Raw genomic sequence first — 19,751 nt, 5'->3', positions numbered from 1 at the left:
CAATGGATATCTTCCTTTAACTGAGTTTCCAAAAGTAATTAAGTGAGTACCTGAAATCTGGCAGTTAAAGGCAGTTTTTCAAAAAGCACCATGGCAAAGCATAATGTAATTTTTAAAGTTCACATTGCCAAGGGAAGACAAGGCCCACTGTCTGAGCGTCTCGAGGGTCAGTTTCCTTTGAGCAATCATGTTCAAGGAAAAAAGAAACTGAATCCTTTCTCCACTCCTGTCCATGTCCAAATCCATGGTGAGCTGTGTTTGAGGATGTAAACTCTTGCTTTGGGTGACTAGAGTAAAGCAATCCAATTATAGTAAATATGTGAGTTTTCTTATATGGCCTTGAAAGGCTGTTTCAAGGAGCCCTATAGGATGAGTGATCTTCCCCGTGGTTCCCATATAGCCAGCCCTTAGATTCTCTGTGTGTCTCCATTTCTCTGGGTGAGGGGGTGGCTGTAAGGCAACTTGGCTGGGGCCTGAGTTTGTGTTGATATTTCCAAGTGTTTTTCTCCATGAGGAATGGACTCTGTTCTGATAAGTAATAGTACAGGGAAGTGGACTTTCAGAGCTGCTCAATCCCAGCTAAGGAGGACTGCACGGTGTATTGTATGAAACTAAAGGACAGGGCTAGTTTCAGTGGGCAGGTGTGGAAATACTGTTGTCATTAGAGGTAAGTCACACATCGCTATTCTGCTTTTTCCTGGATTACCTGTAGGGTGGTAGGTAGCATGGGACAGTGGGAAAGATTGAGGATGTTACACTCCTGGGCATGAAACCTAGCTTCCACTATGTCCCAGCTCGGTGACCGTGGGCTGTTTAATCTTACTTGATTCATGTTTTCCCCATCTGTAAATAGGGATAATAAGGACTAACGATCACATCTGCTTTGTCAAATAATTCTTATAACCTTAAGGTGTGATCTTTCTGGGATATAGTTAGTGCTTAATAGGTGATAGCAACTTTATTTTTATTAGAAGCCACACAAAGAAAATACGTGAGATTTGGAGTCAGATTCCATATGTTCAAATCCTATCCTTGCCAGTATAAGCTTTATGACTTACGTCAAATAACTTACTTGGTCCTCAATTTCATTGCTTGTAAAACTGGGGATATGAGCTGTTAGCTAACTTGGGCACAGTGATGCATTTACCATGAAACTCGCAAAGTTAAGCTTTGGGTCTCTCACTTGCACAGACCCTTGCGAAGCCCTGTACCTCATTCTATATCCCAAATTTTCTTTTTTCTTAAGAAGGACCCTTCAAATTGTATAAGCTTCAGGACCCACAAAACCTGGATTTGTCTCTGCATGTGTATTATTGTAGGACCAAGTATAAAGCACTTAGCATAGTATCAGGCACAGAATAGGTAATCAATATGTGGCAGTCATCTTTATTGCCACTAGTATTACTATGGGAGAATTCATTCATAACTTGATTCTAATGTAGTTATAATATAATCTACTCTGATATTTCCAGTTCTTTGTTTTTTCATTTGAAGATTGTCTATGCCCCGACTTGTCTATGTCAAAAAGGGAAGAGGGAAAAGGGATGAAATTCAAATGAGTAGGTGTGGGAAGCTTAGTAAGAGAATTCCTATCCAAAAAGTTGTCTCAAATGATAATTGTCCTTGAACCCTGCAGTGACCAGAGGTAACTGAAGAGAGACTTTTAATTTTGGCCAGTGAATATCGTGGAAGGAACCAAGACAATTTTGTTTCATTTTTGGCCTCAGTGGTGACTGCCTCGTATTGGGCAAGGCCTGTAATTGTTTCTGCTTCAATTTTCTCATTTGCAAGAGAGGCATAATAGTACTTCTCTTTTTCCCACACCCTCTTCCTAGGGGATATTGTGAGCATTAATAAGGCATTTCCTTACAAGCGTTTGGGCCTTCATGAAGAGAGAGCTTTGCAGAGACCCAGCAGTTCCTTTTCCTCCCTTAGGCCTGGAAAGGCAGGAGTTTACGTTACATTTCATCTGGTATCCCAGTGAACTGCCTTGACACCTAGCACAGTGCCTGAGATACATATTAAATGCCTCTTCACTCGCCTGTGATCATTTTAATAGAAAGAAGAGTGTCCTGAGAATCAGCAGAACTGAATCAAACATTTTTTTTCTGTCCCTAAGGATTTCTTGGACTAAGCTGAACAAGCACAGTGGCAAGTTATTTAATCCCTCAAATCCTAAGGATCCTCATTTTGAAAATAGGAACAATAAGGATAAGAATACTTAACTCAGAGTTGTCACAAGAATGAAATAATATGATATCTATAAAGCACCCAGCACAATGCCTCGCACAATGCCTGAACGTTAACAGTTGTTATGTCTTTAGCTATATTTGTCATCTGTGAATTGAAACTTATTATACAAGCTATGGTTCCTCTTAGCTCCAAACTTCTGAGATCCCATGACCTTTAAGAGCAGCTATGCAGTTCAGAATATTAAGTTTGCGCTCCTAATCTCTGCAGACGTGCTGGCAGGTTGACTGTCTCCCAGTAATAGGGATGCAGAACTGGCCACAGTCAGGGCTGGCCAACAAGGGATGGGATGGCAAGGGAACCAGTGGGAGACTGTTTACACCTTTGACTTCCTCTTCACAGGTCAAGGCAGGACTGTAGCATTAGGTCTCAGAGATGCAATGAACAGGACAAATACACTTCCCCTTCATCTGGACCTGAGGCTCTGGGCAAGTCAGTACCAGCTGGTTTCTTTTGGGAGCCATAGAAACTCTGGAGCTGTTCTACCGATTCCTCAAGAAGTAAAATATAGGCCAGGCGTGGTGGCTCACGCCTGTTATCCTAACACTTTGGGAGGCTGAATCGGGTGGATCACAAGGTCGGGAGTTCGAGACCAGCCTGGCCAATATGGTGAAACCCTGTCTCTACTAAAAATACAGAAATTAGCTAGGCATGGTGGCAGGTGCCTGTAGTCCCAGCTACTCGGGAGGCTGAGGCAGGAGAATCGCTTGAATCCGGGAGGCGGAGGTTGCAGTGAGCCAAGATGGCTCCCTTGAACTCCAGCCTGGGCGACAGAGCAAGACTCTGTCTCAAAAAAAATAAAAATAAAAATAAAAAAAGAAGTAAAATGTAATCACTGATAACCAGATTGCTTTGATTGGTGACTATGGGATCTTGTTTTTTAAAGTCAAATCAGCAAAACATCTTTATTGATGTGTATGTAAAGGCATTCAGCTATATATCATTTTAAAAGGCTCCTTCTTGCATATCTACCTCATCTCCTGAGTTGCCTCTATTCAAAGAAGACTTATCTTAGTCTGAGATTTTTCTTGATCAGAAAAAAACCTGTAAAGATATCTTAAATCTGTTATCTTACGGTCAAGGAAATTGAGGCTCTTGGAATAGAAGTGACTTATCTAAAGTCAAATGGAGAGGGAAGGAGAGAGCGTGCCAGCTAGCCTTCTGATCCTGAACCCACTTTTCCCATCTCAAGGATGACCATACATCCCATTTGCCTGGAATAGTCCTACATGGTTTCTGTGTACCTGTTGTGCTGGTGTAATCACTAACACCCCCTTTCCTCCAAAAGATTTCTGCTTTGGACAATAAATTCTATGGCCATCCCTCACCTCTCATGCTACATTGTCCTTACAGACCACAATGTATCCCGCTTCTTGGCTCTCTTAAGGAGTTGAGGCCTACTCAAACTAGCTCTGGCAAGAGAGGATTCTTTTTTTTGTTTCTGTAAATCTGGAAGGGGAAGCTCATAGAAATCAAAGGGCAAGAACCACGGCACAGTAAGGCCTCCTGAGAGGACAACCGAAAGTGGAAAGTCAGCAGGAAGCAGGCACACTCTGCCTCCCACTTTTTCCTCTGCTTTCTCCACCAACAGGCTTCCTCTGTTTACTCAGCCTGGCTCTGTACTCATCCGGGCTTGCTCAGCCCCGCCTCAGTGTGACTTTCCAGCTGTTGACCTCTCATAGACATGCTTCATCTCCTAGTTTCTCTTTTCCAAGTTTATAACGGAGCAATGTGATTGGCTCAGCACAGGAAGAAACTATAGCACTGTAAACGGAGGCAGTGTCGTTAATTTCCTTGCAAGATTCTCTAACTCCTAAGCAAAATTATCCAAATTCTTTCCTGGCTTTTAGAAACACGATCTTGTGATATCAAAATCATATTAAGTTTATTTTAGTGTCTTACTAATTCATGTTGACTATGAGTGCATTCCTTATTAATGATTAAGACAATATAGTAGGCTAACAGTTGTCAGCATAGCCCCTAGACTCTAGGAGATGCATCTAAATCACTTACAAAGATTTAGAAAATACCAGACCCCATCCCAGACTTGCTGAATCAGACTCATTAGGAACAGAACTCAGGTTAAAGTGCTTATCATAAAATCCATTACTGGAGGCAGGTTGCTGTGGGATCGTAATCTGCAATTTTGGGAATATGCATTTTTAAAAAAGGTGTTTATATTTGTATAGTGATTATTTTAGACCATGTCTTCATTCCTTAAGATGGTAATTCTGACTGAGGAGATTACTACTTATAATTACTATTAATCTGCAAGTTTACATTAAAGGAAATATTATTTGGTGAGGAGGGGAAGATTCCTGCCTGTGGAAACTACTTTGCTTTATTGTTAAATAAATCCAAGATTTCATTCTGTCAGGCCACAGCAGAGGGGCCATCTGTTCTGCCAGACATTTGCTTATTTCCCAGGAAGAATCAGGAGGTGGAATTATAAGCTCATTGATGAAAACATAGGATGTTGGCCAAGTTACTAGACATTCCTGGCCATATCATCAAGATATGCACTATCTATACACTATACACTAAGGAAGGGACCATTTTTAATCCAAGCTGGTAACTGGAAAAAACAACCAAGGAAAAATAAAGACCACTTTAGGTGTTTGCTTTCTATATCTAAATGCACTTTTGGGTACATGCTTTGGCAGTCATTCTTTCATTTGACAAATATTTACTGAGTGTGTACCATTTGCAAGGCAGTGTGCTAAGAGCTATGGATATAACACTAAACAAGAGGCAGTCTCTACCCTTGCAGATTTTATAATCCAATTTAAACTCCTGGGCCCCTCATATTCTTAAAAATTATTGAGGACCCCAAAGAACTTATGTTTCCATACCTATTGATAGTTACAATATTAGAAATTGAAACTGATATGTATTTTTGAGAAATGTTTAAAACAGAAGACTACACAAGCACATATTCCAATATGACATCATTATATATCACGTAACCTCTGGAAGACTCCACTCTACACTCAGAGAAATAATAGAATTAAAAACGCAAATGATACCTTAGTATTAAAATAGTTTTGACCTTGTGGGCGCCTCCTAAGAAGGTCTTCGGGCTCCCCAGGGGTCCTGAGATCACACTTTGAGAACTGTTGATCTAGTTTTCATTTAATTATTTTTTTAGAATATTTTTAAAAATACATAATATCCCTGTTTTATATTCCTGTAAGGCCAGTTTGGAAGCTATCTTGTTAATGTTTTCAAACAACCAGGATTTTGCTTGGTGTGTCTTTGATTTACTGTGTCCTTTTGGCTTTCCTGTGAGTCCAGTGTTAAAAATAGGAGTTTGGGCCATCAGTAATTCCAGTTCCACAATCTCTTGTCTTTCCCCGAGTGCTGATCAAAGTAGACAAGAGCATTCATATCTCCATAATTGAATTACTCAGTAATTCCCTTCTGGCCTCAGCCCTGCGGGGATTTTCAACCCATATGACGTAATTTGGTATTTTAATCTAGTATGAAAGCTCTCTTTGAAGGTAGATGTCCTGTCGTATTTAGTTTTGTGTCTTTTCTTACTGCCAAATGCAATGTCTTATTCAAAATAGATGGTCAGTAAGTGTTACTTGGATGAATAGAGAAAATAATTTCTTTGGAAATGATTTTGTTTGCATTTTGTTGTTTAGTCTCACATTTTGCCTCACTCTGTAGGCCAGTGGTCACATGTTTGTCTCATGAATGATTTATACCTTTAAAATCTGGAAACTTCACGTATTGGTCCAGATTTCCAGCTTCTCTTGAAACATGTGGATGTTCTTTGGTACTCGTCATACCAAGTTCTGTGTGGTAGCTGTCTCGGCAGAAAAGAGGCTGACCCTTAGAAGAGACCTGCCTTCCCTGTTTCCCACTGTCTTAGTCCATTCAGGCTGCTGTCACAAAATAGCATAGACTGGGTGGCTTATAAACAACAGAAATTTATTTCTTACAGTTCTGGAGGCTAGGAAGTCCAAGATCAAGGCCCCGGCAGATTTGGGGTATGGTGAGGGTCCACTGCCTCATAGATTATGGTCTTCTCACTCTAACCTCACATGGCAAATGAGCTCTCTGGGGTACCTTTTATGAGAACTAATCCCATTCGAGAGGGTTCTACGCTCGTGACCTAATCACCTCCAAAGGCCCCACCTCCTAATCTCACCACCTTGGGGGTAAGGATATCAACAAAGGAGTTTTGAGGGGACATAAACATTCAGACCACAGCACCCACCGTCCTTTGCGCCCTTATTGGCTCCCAAGGCCCAGTGAAGGTATCCGTTGTTGTGCATGTGCTGTTGTGTTTCTTAGAGTAGAGAAATGTTTCTCTATATCTGACACTCCTTACCAAAAGAAGGAAAATGAAAGATAGCTTGAGAGGATCATGTGTTTAACAGAAATGGGGGAGGGCATGTTTCTCTGTAGAAATGAATATTGCTGCTGGGGTTTGACATGCAAACAAATGTACAAACCCATGGCCTGTGTCACTCATTTGCCCTAGCCATCTGGCCCCTTCAGCATCTGAATTTTACACACTTTCCAGAGACAGTGTGAGGCAGAGTGCCATTGTTACACTAATGTAATCACTCATCACAAGTCCCATTTTTTAAAATTCATTTTTTAATTGACAAGTCAAAATTGTACATATTTAGGGCATGCAACATGATGTTTTGAGAGAGATATACATATAGATATACATAGTGAAATGGCTAAATCAAGCTGTTTAACATACACCTTACCTCAATTACTTATCTTTGTTTTGTGGTAAGAACACAAAATCTAATCTCAGCATTTTTCAAATATACAATATTTTGGGGTTTTATTTTATTTTATTTTTGTTTTTGTTTTTGTTTTTGTTTTGAGATAGGGCTTCTCTCTGTCACCCAGGCTGGAGTACAGTGCCACTACCATGGCTCACTGCAGCCTTGACCTCCTGGGTTCAAGCCATCCTCCTGCCTTAAACTCTAAAGTTGCTGGAACTACAGGTGTGCACCATGCCAGGCTAATTTTTAAATATTTTTTTGTAGAGATGGGGTCTTGCTGTGTTGCCCAGGCTGGTCTCAAATTCCTGAGCTTAAGCAATCCTCCCACCTTTGCCTCCTAAAGTGCTGGGATTACAGGCGTGAGCCACTGTGCCTGGCCCAATATATTGTTATCCACTGTGATCACCATGATGTACATTAGATCTCTTGAATTTGTTTATATCAAACTGAAATTTTGTGTCCTTTGACTAACATCTCACCAGTCCTCCCAGCGCCCACAATTCCCATTTTAAGGATATTTTCTTTTAACACTGTACTTCTGATAATCAACAGTAGTGGAAGAGGAGACATAGAAATAGGTAGGTAATGAAAATATTACTTATTTCAATTTTGAGAGATATAATCACAACCAAACAGGTTGCAAAATAATGAGACTGGCTGTGCAAGTTACACACAGAATGTGGGCCTTGTTTCCGTGGCCTTATTTCTTATTTATTCACATCTGAAACTCCTCTTTCTCACCCGCCTCCCCACTCCCCATATATGTATATATATATTCCCCTCCCGCTCCCAATTTTCACCTGGTTCTATGTTTAAGTTTCTATCGGTAGCTGCTTTTTTTCCCTTTAGGTCATCAGTTCTCAAACTTGGCTGTACATTTGTAATCACCTAGAAACTTTCAAAAATAAGTTAGTGGGTATTTTGTAGCAGGAGGTTTTTTGGGATTGTCATTCCACCATATTGTCCTGTATGTAATTTATAAACAAAGTACAGTTCACCCATGAGCTACATTTGAATCTGAACTATCAGAGCTCATTAGTTAAAATTATGACAGTTGCAAAATGAAAATGAGTTAAGCAACAGTGACATAAATAAATGAATGCCAATACATTTTTACTGAGTTAAAATAAGGTCAGGGAATAAGAGTAGAATGTTAATGGCAGTTTCTTTCTTTTATGTAAACAGTGGAAATTACTTAAATTACTGCATGAGTCTGGGTTGGGTTTGCTTCGTTTCAGGGAGCAATTTTAAAAAACAAAGCAAATCAATTGGTGTTTTGCCATTTGATGAGTTTTATTAATCTGGAGTCCAGTATACAATTAGGCCAATATACCATCCATACACAATTAGGGCAAGTTCTCCAAGTTGGTCTGCATTATCTCTGGATGAATTTAGACTGTGCAGATGGCAACATGGATGCTTAAGTTGTGTTTAATTATGAAGTAGCACTTTACTGACCTTAAAGAACAACCAGTAGTGCTCTCGAATCCCGAAACTTTCCTTAAAGGTATTACTGATTCCCGTGAAAGCCTAATGGATTCCCTGAGTGCTTATTTTTATCACTTGGAAGTGGCTTACATCAGGACAGCTGGTTTCACCACTCTCATGGTGTTGCCTTCCCAAAAGATTGCTGTTAGGCTGACTTGGGTTGTGGCTGTATTAAGTCATGTCAGTGTTCAGCAGTCAAGCTAATCCAGCCTGCATCTGTTCCTTCATCTGCAGGTCAGGTGTCAGCCTGGCCAGCGACTCCATGTTCACTACACACAGCTCAGAGAGGTTGTTCTCAGTTCTGTCTCTGACCAGCCTTCTGTGTACCCAAATGGAAGCTTATGCTGGTTGAAGATTCTTTTACTTTTGTTTTAAAACAGTCTCACTTCATACATGGTAAAAACTGTTATGCTTCTCCAGTAATTCAAGAAATGCAAGTTCAAACAAGAAGATGCTATTTTGCCACTACTGAGGAAGCAAAGATTTCTGAAAACCTTAAACACCAATATTGGGATGGATATGCTGAAATGGTTGCTCATACACTGCTTTCTGGAGCAACTTGTTGATATTTAAAGGCTGATGAGTTCATGAAAACTTTTTGTCTCTAGACCCAATAATCCCAATCTAGGAGTCTATTCTAAGAAATTATTCACTGATTTGGGCCAGGTGTGGTGCCTCATGCCTGTAGTCCCAGCACTTTGGGAGGCCGAGGTAGGTGGATCACTTGAGGCCAGGAGTTAGAGACCAGCCTGGCCCACATGGTTAAACCCCATCTCTACTAAAAATACAAAAAGTAGCTGGGTGTAGTGGTGTGCACCTGTAATCCCAGCTACTCCAGTGGCTGAGGCATGACAGTCAAAAGTTGCAGTGAGCCAAGATTGCACCACTGCATTCCAGCCTGAGTGACAAAAGCAAGACTCTGTCTCAAAAAAAGAAAACAAAATTATTCACTAATTTGGACAAATATATTCAAGAACATTTACTTCAGCATGAAAGCAACACAAATGTCCTATAGTAAAAGAATGATTAAATAAACTGATTTAGTATATTTTTTTAAATATACTAATACAGTGGATTAGTATACAGACATTAAAATAACAGTTTCAAAACCTATTTAATAACAAGGATAATCGTTTATAAAAGATGAGTCAAAAAATGATACAATACATATGATCTCAATTTTGTTTAAAATACACATATATATGACTAGACCAGAGGGAAATAAACCCATATGTTAACAGCGATAGTGTGGATTACAGGGGATTTAAATTTTGTTCCTTTTACTTTCTTCATTGTCCAAATTTTCTGTGACAAATATAATGGAATGGGTAGGGAATGGATGGAGTAGCATTTACCTGATTTAAAGTAACAACAGGCTGGGCACGGTGGCTCACACCTGTAATCTCAACACTTTGGGAGGCTGAGGTGGGCAGATCACCTGAGATCAGGAGTTCAAGATCAGCCTGACTAACATGGTGAAGCCCTTTCTCTACTAAAAATACAAAATTAGCCAGGTGTGGTCATGTGTGCCTGTAATCCCAGCTACTCGAGAGGCTGAGGCAGGAGAATCGCTTGAACCCGGGAGGCGGAGGTTGTGGTGAGCCGAGTCATGCCACTGCACTCCAGCCTGGGCAACAGAATGAGACTCCCTCTCAAAAAATAAATAAGTAACTGAATAAATAAAAAATAAAGTAACAACAATCAGTAGCATCATTTGTGAATAGAAATTGGAGGCAACACATGACTTTTTCTGCACATTTGTAGTAATGTTATCTGCTACTTTAAACATCTCTTCTAATATGAATATAGAAATTTCTGTAGATTGATAATTTATCATAATATCTAGGTATTTTTCCCTTAGATAAATGTGATGTTTTATTGCTTACAAGTCTAGTTTGTTCCTTGTTATATCAAGGAGTTTTTAGAATTCACCAATAAAATGAGAAGGTAGGAGATCTTGTCTACCATTATATCTCCAATACCTAGAACAGTGGCTTAGCACAAAGGAATTGCTAAGTTAATATTTGTGGAAAGAATGAAAGAGTTTCATCAGTTTTAAGGTTGTGAAAATCCTATGCTATACTTGCTATGAAAAAGGATGTTATAAAAAATTCATTAAAACCAAAATTGCTAAAGACAGATCTAACAGACTTAGAACTAATGTTTGTGTGCCTTTGGCATATTAATTATGCATAAAAATAGACCCTGCTAATTCCAAACTAGTCTTAACCATTTATGAAAGGAGGCCAAAATGTCTCCTTGAAAAATAATATTTGCAGCTAAGAAAGTTACTGTCTCTTCTTGATTCTGCAGTACTGAAATTCAGACTTTTTATTTATTCAGATCACCTTTCTTACATATTATTTAGAATATGCGGCATTTTGCCACATTGAAGATTTTACCAAGAAGAACTGGGTAAACAGCAGAAGATGAATGCCTGGCACAGCGTTGTGCTCTACGCTGCGGTATCATCTGTTTCTTCATTAATTATTTATTGTGTCCCTTCTGTGCCAGAAACCATGTTATGTGCTGGGGATCCATGAAAAAGATACAGTTCTTAGTATCAGACCCAATCTGACACTAAAGACTAATGAACACATTTTCCTTATAAAACTTGTGAAGTTTCATGAAAGCAGAGAGAAAACACATAGTTCAGAGGGGCCTTCTGAGAGATGGCACTTCTGAATTGAGCCCTGAAGCCCAAGTAGAAGTGAACCAGGTGATAAGGGCCCTGCAGAGACTTCTGGGTGAAGGGCGGTGAGTGACTCAGGCCAAGGCACTGGCTGAGAACTTGTGTGGTGGGTGCTAGGTAACAGTAGATGGTTGCGTGTTACTGGTGCATAAAGTGCCTACCAGGAAAAGACAGCGACAGGTGACGCAGTTGCATCAGATCACAACAGGTCAAGGACTGTGGACTTTATCCTTTGAGCAGGGGTGGAGTATCTGTTCCCTTAGGCACTTTTGACAGGCTTCTCTGAAGCCTGAGATGGATGAAGCATTTGAAAGGAAAAAGGCTGGAGAGAGGGAGACCAGTTAGGAGCCTACATACAGTATTGTCACAGTCCAAGCCAATGATGAAATGTGCCTTGGGGTAGAAATGGGGAAGAGGAGGAGGTGAAATCAGCAGGACTTAGTGATCAACTAGGGGAGAAAATCATGAGTCCATTTTGGTCATGTTGTCTTGGAGCAGCCTGTGAGATGTTTAGATGGGGGAATTTTATCACAGATCCATGCTACTGGAAGGATCTAAATAATTTCAGGCATAAGCTGTTTGTTAGGCTGAATTACTGAGTCTTGCACATAATTTTTCACTCCCTGTTACATGCATGTTGGTTTTGTGTCCTTAGCTAAATTTCTTCTTACAGACAGGGCCTATGCCTGTTTGCAGGGCATAGTCCGGGCACATAGAAAGCTCTCAGTAGGTACATATTGGGTGATTAACTGAAAAGTATGTTTTTTAGTCCAATTATTAATTTAGCTGTTGACACTGTGAATTCACCATAGAACTTGATAATTTTCCAGTATTTTGTTTTAGTGGTAGTGCCACAGTATTGTGCGTGGAAAAATTCATTATGTTCGTCTTGGTTAAAACTAATAAGCAACAGTTATATTGTGACTCCACAGTGCCACTCTTAATATCCAGAGTCACACTGTAAAACTGATTTAAGGCCTTATGTTGCTTTTTCATTTAGTGTAACTAAGAAGACTCAGCTGATTACAAGGTTTGTCTGGTGGCTGTCATCACCACAGCAGAACCCTCGGTGAGGAAGATCAGTTGTTCCCAAGCCATGGCTTTCTGTTCAGACTGGCAAAGGGCGCCTTTGAGGGGGACACTAGCTCGTTGTATCTGGCGGAATGAATAACTTCCTGTGCCAGACAGTCCGCGGTCTTGAGGCTGAGGTTATTATTTGTTAGTTTCTCAGGCCTTCCTTTGCCGAGCAAGCTCCTGGGAGTGCACACTTGAATGCCCTGAGGATCAGAAATAGAAGGGGCAGAAATTAAAAGTTTAAGTCAAAACAGAGCCCTCTCTGGGCCATCTTGTGGCAGGAGGTTGAGGTGCTTTCTTTGGACCCATTAGCATACTGGGGCTGCGCGGCTGCCTGGAAACTCTAGAGTTGAACTCTCCCTTTTTCGGTTCCTCACCTGTGGGCTCCTTACTAGGAGCTGACAGTGACCTCACGCAGCTGCCCTAGTTTCCTTTCCTCCAGATGGCACGGGTAACACTCGAGGAAACCCTGAGAGTTCAGAGTCCAACTTATGGCTTCTCCATAGTTTCACTGTCCCTCTGGGCTAGAGTTGCCAAATAAAATAAAATACAGGACAACCAGTTAAATTTGAATTTCAGATAACAAATAACATTTTAGTATGAGTCTGTCTCGTGTGATATTTCGGTTCAGTCCGATGTATCAGTTGTTAATGTCCTGCCATATTTATCTCTCTGATGCACTTTTTCTTGAATTATTTGAAGTAAGTTGTAGATATCACACACTTTGTTCCTAAATCCTTCAGCATGCATCTCCTATGAATAAAAACATTTTTGATGTAGCCCATGCAATATTTGGGACATAATTATATTATAAAATTATTTGTTGTTTATCTGAAATACAAATTTAACTGGGTATCCCAGGTTTTATTTGCTAAATCTGGCAACTCTACCCTCAGGGTGCCATGGGGTGGCAGCTGCTGGATGGGTGAGTAAATCTGCACTCCTGGACTTGGTCAGATTTGATTTCATTTACTGGCTTTGTGACTTGGGACAGCCAGTGCCACCATTTCTTTGTCTGCAAAATGGGGATTTTTATTTTGTAGTGTCAGTGTAAAACTCAGAGATAAGGTACATTATAAAGCCCCTAGCATAGCACCTGACTTTAGCAGACTCACAGTAGATTGCAGCTGGCGTGGCAGTAATGGTAACTGAATAGTAACTGCCATTCTCTGAGCTGAAAGTGAGAAAATAAAAATAAAGACACACTGTTTTAGAAATGTTAGCAGCTGTATTTACAACTTCCCTCTGTTCTCTCATTCCCCATCTCTCTTCCTACTTAGTGCATTCGCATGAGCACACACACACACACACACACACACACACACACTCACTCACTCTCCAGCACGTGATCTACTCTGGGATTGACAGAGGGTTTCCTGACAAACATCCAACTTGTAAGGTGGAGGAAAAGAGACATATGAAAGCAGCAGGAAAAGCCACCACTCTTGAGGGCAAGATTTGAAGGGAGTAAAAGGGGCTATGAGGATTTGTCTGAGTGCTGGTGACTCAACTAAGAAGTGGCCAGGCAGAGAAGGGCTGTGGGGGTGGAGGGAGACAGAGGAGAAGCCCCAGCTGTAACATGGTCTGGGTTGGTTATGACTCTGGCATGCTGCCAAGGACAGTTTTTATTGTTCTTGTTTTTCATTTGCTTTGTTTCATTAAGAAGTCAAATGTACTAAATGTTTATTTCTATCCTGAAAGTTGGAGGAACAAGTTCAAGTCACACTGTTTACGCATGTCAGAACAGCCAGGTTTACCCTTCTTTCTGGTAACCCCTTCTTTCTGGAAACCCTTCCACTTGTCTTTGGATTTATGGTTGCCTAAAAGCTGGATGCCAGCCCAGCAAGATAAACCAGGGAGGTTAGCCATCTGTTCATTTATGTTTGCTGATTCTTTCAGGGTTCCTAATTCTGAGGTGATTTTCTTCACATGAACAAATAAATGAGATCTCAAGTCCTTTCTCACTGGAAACTTCACACACTATGATGCTTGTCAGGAAAAATTAGGCAGGAATACAGAGTGCTCACTCAACTGTCCTGACAGTAATAGGAAGAGAAGTGCGGTGGAGTCGAGAGTGGGGGCGGCTGCTCCTGGGCCTTTGCAGCAGAGCAGACCGCAGCTGAGGCAGCATCAGGCTCGCCTTTGTTTTGCTAGAACAGAGGAAAGCCAAGATGAAGTGAGTTCTCTTTGTGTCCATTCCTTCTCCTTGCCTTAGGGTCTATCCATAACATGCTACAGAATCTGAGTTTCTTAGATTTTCACTTAAAAAAAAAGATAAGGGAACATTTTTTTTTCTGCTTACAGAAGTAATTTATTTCTGGTGTAAAAATCCAAACAAAAGCAACAGTGAGTGGAAGACTCCTCCTAATCCGGACCTGAATTATAACTGATACAAATTCTCGACACTCAAAGTTCACATTTTGGTTTGTTTATTTGCAGTCTGTGCTTTTATATTATTTTTGTATTTCAGCCGTTTTTACAGTAAAAATACAAGGCTTTTCTCCATTAACAGATAGAGGACTGTTGGGAATACCAGGTGTTAGGTTTCTGTTAACCTCAGGCGCTGTATTTATCAGGCCTCTACTGCCACGGTGAGTAACAAGTAACTCCCCAGTCTCGTTGCTTATAACAATAATATGTGGGTGTGCAGCCAGCTCAGCTGGCTCAGTGGAACGAGGCTGGACTCCAGGCTTCTGGTCCGCTTTAGGACTAGTCTACACATCTCCGTTTTAGAACCTAGGCTGAAGGATCAGCAGCTACCTGTGGCCTGCTCTTCTCTTTTCCAAGGGTGGCAACTTCAAGGTGGCAGATAGAAACTTGCCATGCATCTTAAGGCCTTAGCTCCAAATTGATACATTGCCATTCCACCCACATCCTGTTGGTCAAATCTAGTCACTTGGCCTAGCCTGAAGTCAGTGAGGCAGGGAGAATACTTCACCCTTAGGGGAGTCATGGTGTATTAATTTGCTAGGGCTTCCCGAATGAATACAACAGACTGGGTGGCTTAAGCAACAGAAATTTGTCTCATAGTTCTGGATGCTAGAAGTCTGAGATCAAGGTATTGGCAGAGTTGGTTTCTTCTGAGGCCTGTCTTCTTGGCTTGTAGAGGGCTGTCAGTTCTGCGTGTTTTCACGTGGCCTTCCCTCTGTGCTTGTCTGTGTCCCAGTTTCCTCCTCCAGTTAGGACACCGGTCCTATTAGCAGGGCCTACCCTCATGACCTCATTTAACCTTCATCAGCTCTTTAAAGACCCCGACTCCAAATACAGGCACATTGTGAGGTATTGGGGGTTAGGACTTCAGCTTAGGAATTTAGAGTATGGGGGGCATTATTCATCCTGTAACACAGAACAGGGGTGGAAAGTGCAGGAGGGATTGTGTGCAGAGTGCAGTCTCCATTGTCAGCTAACCTCAGTGAGGCTAGGCCTCCTGGTTTTTGAAACGGGGATAGGCAGTTCCATTTTAGGGTTTTTGGGGATCCAATAAGAAAATACATTTAAAGCCCCTGGTGGTGGAGGCGGTAGGGATGGATGTGGTTTGACTTGAAAAAGGACCAAAACTGGCCTTCTTGGGCCCTTCCCCTTGTTATTCTCTCATCTGGGCAAACTGGGAGTGTATGGTGCTTTTCAGAATTGCTTAACTTCTACAGAAGATACACCATCCATGGAATCTTCAAAAATAACAAAGCCAGCAGGCCCTTTAGGCACTCAATCTGTGCCCTAGGTTTTGGAAACACTATGCTTCATGCTTCTGCCCAAGTGCTGTCTTTAGTACCCTTCCTTTACAATTATTAATTAATTAACTAGTTAATTTATTTTGAGACAGAGTCTTGCTCTGTAACCCAGGCTGGAGTGCAGTGGCACGATCTTGGCTCACTGCAACCTCCACCTCCCAGGTTCAAGCAAGTCTACTGCCTCAGCCTCCCGACTAGCCAGGATTACAGGCACGCACCACCACACCTGGCTGATTTTTGTATTTTTAGTAGAGACGGGGTTTCACCATGTTGACCAAGCACGAACTCTTGACCTCAAGTGATCTGCCCGCCTTGGCCTCCCAGAGTGTTGGGCCACTGGGCCCGGCCCCTTTACAAATATTTATCGAAGGCCTTCTCTGACTTATTAGAACTGTGGGCTCTATTGGTGTAAGATATGGCCCTGTTCTCAGGAGACTGCAGTTGAATGCCTGTGAAATGATTAAAATAGTGATCTAGGAGGTCAGAATAGGGGGCGTCCCTTCCTCTGCTTCTTGGGTTTAAAGCCAACTATTGCCTTACATTTTTGTAAATCTCCTTTTGGTTTTTTCCTAGAAAATTGTGTTAAGGAATGGTACTGAGGCATTTGACTCCTGGGAGAAGCCCCCTCTGCCTGTGTATACTCAGTTCTATTTCTTCAATGTCACCAATCCAGAGGAGATCCTCAGAGGGGAGACCCCTCGGGTGGAAGAAGTGGGGCCATACACCTACAGGTAAGTCTTGACCACCTCCTGTCTTGAAAGAAATACAGAGTGACCCCAATATGGCCTGAGTCCTTGCCTCTTCCCAGGAGCAAGGCTCCAGGGCTGTGTGGGAGCACACTTTCTGATTTCATTGTCTGAAACGCTGCTGATGTTTTGTATGTGTGTGTGAAACCTCAGCAGAGAATGGCTTTGTAGACTGGGCCAAGTCTCAGCGTGTTGTGTTTTGAAGTGCAGCGGTTTCCTCCTGAGTTGGCAGACTGTGATTATTAAACCATGAAGGGTTACTCCTTACCCTGACCCTTTTAAGGTTGCCCCTTGATATTCTTATTTTATTTTATTTTATTTTTTTAAGAGACAAGGTCTGGCTTTGTTGCCCAGGCTGGAGTGCAGTAGAGCAGTCATAGCTCACTGCCACCTCCAACTCCTGGGCTCAAGTGATCCTCCTGCCTCAACCTCCCTAGTAGCTGGGATTGCAAGTGTTCACCACCACACCCAGATAATTTTTTTTGTAGAGATGAGGTCTTGCTATATTGCCCAGGCTGGTCTTGAACTCCTGGGCTCAGGTGATTCTCCCGCCTCAGCCTCCCACAGTGTTGGGATTACAGGCGTGAGCACCACCATGCCTGGCTACTGCTTGATATTCTTAAGTGACTTTTAGGGCCTCCCTCCATTTCCATTCCCCACATAACTAGTTTTAAAGCAGTTCCAGAATTTACTTTTGTCTGAGACAGATCTTTCTGTTTCTTACCCGCTCCTTTTCTCCACCTATCCTGCGTATAAGCAATAAGCAAGTAGCAGAGGCTGTTAGAGTCTTTGCTGGTGACCACCAATTCCAAACACTGGGGAATCAGGATCCCTTTAATCATTTTTAAACGATTAGTAGAGGGAGACGCTTGAATCAGAGCATTTTCTCTGTTGCAATGTTCCCCTTTTCCCTATTACAATACCTCCTCCCTCTCCCATACAATAATCTTTCCAATAAAGTCTCTCCTTACCAGGTTAGAAAACAAATTAATAGAGGAAGCAGACAACAAGATCTTTCTTTTTCAAAACTGCTGAATGATAAAAATGCCTGACAATTCTGTTGTAATCGATTGCTCAATAAATTATTGCTGACTGATTCATGTGCTATGAATCAGTACTATTCTCAGTGGTGGGAATTCAGAGATAAAAATCCTAGTTCCTGCCTTGGGTGCTCATGCTCTGACTCTGGAGTCAGATGACCCATTTTGATTCCCGCCTCTGCAACTTACTAGTTCTCTGTGCTTCCATTTCCTTATCTATAAAATGGGGATAAAAATAGGACCTCCTCCACATGGTTTTTACAAAGATTGAGTCAATGAGTCATGTATAAAGTGCTTAGACTAGTGCCTAGCACATAATTAGTGATACTTAAGTGTTTGCTCTTACTATTAGTTGGATTAGGCTATTTTTGCATTGCTATGAAGAAATACCTGAGACTGGGTAATTTATAAAGAAAAGAGGTTTAATTGGCTCATGGTTCTGCAGGCTGTACACACATGGCACACTGGCTCTGCTCGGCTTCTGGGGAAGCCTCAAGGAGCTTTTACTCATGGCAGAAGGCAAAGCAGGAGCAGGCACGTTACATGGTGAAAGCAGGAGCAAGGGGTGAGGAGGTGCCACACTTTTACAACAACAAGATCTCGTGAGAAGTCACCCACTGTTGTGAGGACAGCACCAAACCTTGAGGGATCCTCCCCTATGACCCAAACAGCTCCCACCTGGCCCTACCTCCAACACTGAAGATTACAGTTCAACATGAGATTTGGAGGGGACATCCAAACTATATCATTCCACCCCTGGCCTCCAAATTTCATGTCCTTCTCACATGTTAAAATATAATCATCCCTTCTCAATAGTCCCCCAAAGTCTTAACTCATTCCAGCATTAACTCAAAAGTCCTAAGTCCCAGGTCTCATCTAGAAATGAATTCCTTCTACCTATAAGCCTGTAAAATCAAACAAGTTATTTCCTTTCAAGATACAATGGGTGTATCAGCATTGGGCAAACATTCCCATTTGAGAAGGGAGAAATTGGCCATAAGAAAGGGGCTACAGGCCCCAAGCAAGTCTGAAACCCAACAGGGCAGTTATTAAATCATAAAGCTCCAAAATCATCTTCTTTGACTCCGTGTCTCACATCCAGAGCACACTGGTGCAAGGGGTGGGCTCCCAAGGCCTTAGGCAGCTCCGCCTCAGTAGCTTTTTTATGCTGAGATTGCAAGCTGATGGTGGCTCTACCATTCTGGTGTCTCAAGGACGGTGGCCTTCTTCCCACAGCTCCACTAGGCAGTGCCTCAGTGGGGACTCTTTGTGGAGCCTTCAGCTCCGCATTTCCCCTCCTCACTGCCCTAGTAGAGTTTCTCTTGAGGGCTCTGCCCTTGGAGCAGGCTTCTGCTGGGGCACTTAGGCTTTCTCATACATCATCTGAAATCTAGGTGGAGGATGCCAAGCTTCCTTCACTCTTGCACTCTGTGTTCCTGCAGGCTTAACATCACATGGAAGCTGCCAAAGCTTATGGCTTGCACCCTCCAGAGGAGTGGCCTGAACTGTACCTGAGCCCCTTTGAGCCATGTCTGGAGCTGGAGTGGCTGGGATGTGGGAAACAGCACAGGGAAGTAGTGCCCCTGGCCTGGTCCCTGAAACCACTCAGTCCTCTTAGGTCTCAGGGCCTGTGATGGAAGGGGCTGTCTCAGAGATCTCTGAAATGTTTTCAAGGCCTTTTACCCATTGTCTTGACTCTCAGCACTTGGCTTCTTTTTAGTTATGCAAATCGTTTTAGCAATGGTTGCTCTACAGCCTGCTTGAATTTATCTCCCCACAAAAATATTTTGTTTTGTTTTGTTTTTGAGACAGGGTCTCTGTTGCCAGGCTAGAGTGCGGTGGCATGATCATGGCTCACTGCAGCCTTGACCTCCTGGGCTCAAGGGTTCCCCCTGCCTCAGCCTCCCAAGTATCTAGGACTACAGGCAAGTGCCACCATGCCTGGCTAATTTTTAACTTTTTTTTTTTTTGAGACA

The 19,751-nt window shown here is 42.1% G+C and overlaps 1 protein-coding gene across 4 annotated transcripts in view, besides 3 other annotated features; it reads left to right on the top strand.

The window, feature by feature from the left end:
- The window catches only part of SCARB2 (scavenger receptor class B member 2), a 75,796-nt gene that overhangs the window by 22,106 nt on the left and 33,939 nt on the right, over positions 1–19,751 (top strand). For 3 of the 4 annotated variants that reach the window (XM_047416429.1, NM_001204255.2, NM_005506.4), the window contains exon 2: positions 16,563–16,720. Coding sequence is in view for 2 of the 4 variants with exons in the window: in NM_001204255.2 (NP_001191184.1) it covers positions 16,563–16,720 (158 nt within the window). In the remaining 2 variants the exon portion in view is untranslated. Of the gene's footprint in view, positions 1–16,373; positions 16,470–16,562; positions 16,721–19,751 lie in introns of those variants that run through there. The other variant, XM_047416430.1, reaches the window with a different exon arrangement.
- Positions 12,317–12,376: an enhancer, noted in NCBI's record as "active region_21628". NCBI's record gives its function as "activates an Ori minimal core promoter by ATAC-STARR-seq in GM12878 lymphoblastoid cells {active_cell/tissue: GM12878}" and the evidence as "EXISTENCE:reporter gene assay evidence [ECO:0000049][PMID:35858748]".
- Positions 12,397–12,586: an enhancer, noted in NCBI's record as "active region_21627". NCBI's record gives its function as "activates an Ori minimal core promoter by ATAC-STARR-seq in GM12878 lymphoblastoid cells {active_cell/tissue: GM12878}" and the evidence as "EXISTENCE:reporter gene assay evidence [ECO:0000049][PMID:35858748]".
- Positions 16,850–16,909: a silencer, noted in NCBI's record as "silent region_15486". NCBI's record gives its function as "represses an Ori minimal core promoter by ATAC-STARR-seq in GM12878 lymphoblastoid cells {active_cell/tissue: GM12878}" and the evidence as "EXISTENCE:reporter gene assay evidence [ECO:0000049][PMID:35858748]".

This window comes from Homo sapiens, chromosome 4, assembly GCF_000001405.40.
Source record: "Homo sapiens chromosome 4, GRCh38.p14 Primary Assembly".
Lineage (NCBI taxonomy): Eukaryota > Metazoa > Chordata > Mammalia > Primates > Hominidae > Homo > Homo sapiens.
Note: the sequence above shows the minus strand (reverse complement) of the source record. Positions and strands in the feature narration are given on the sequence as shown.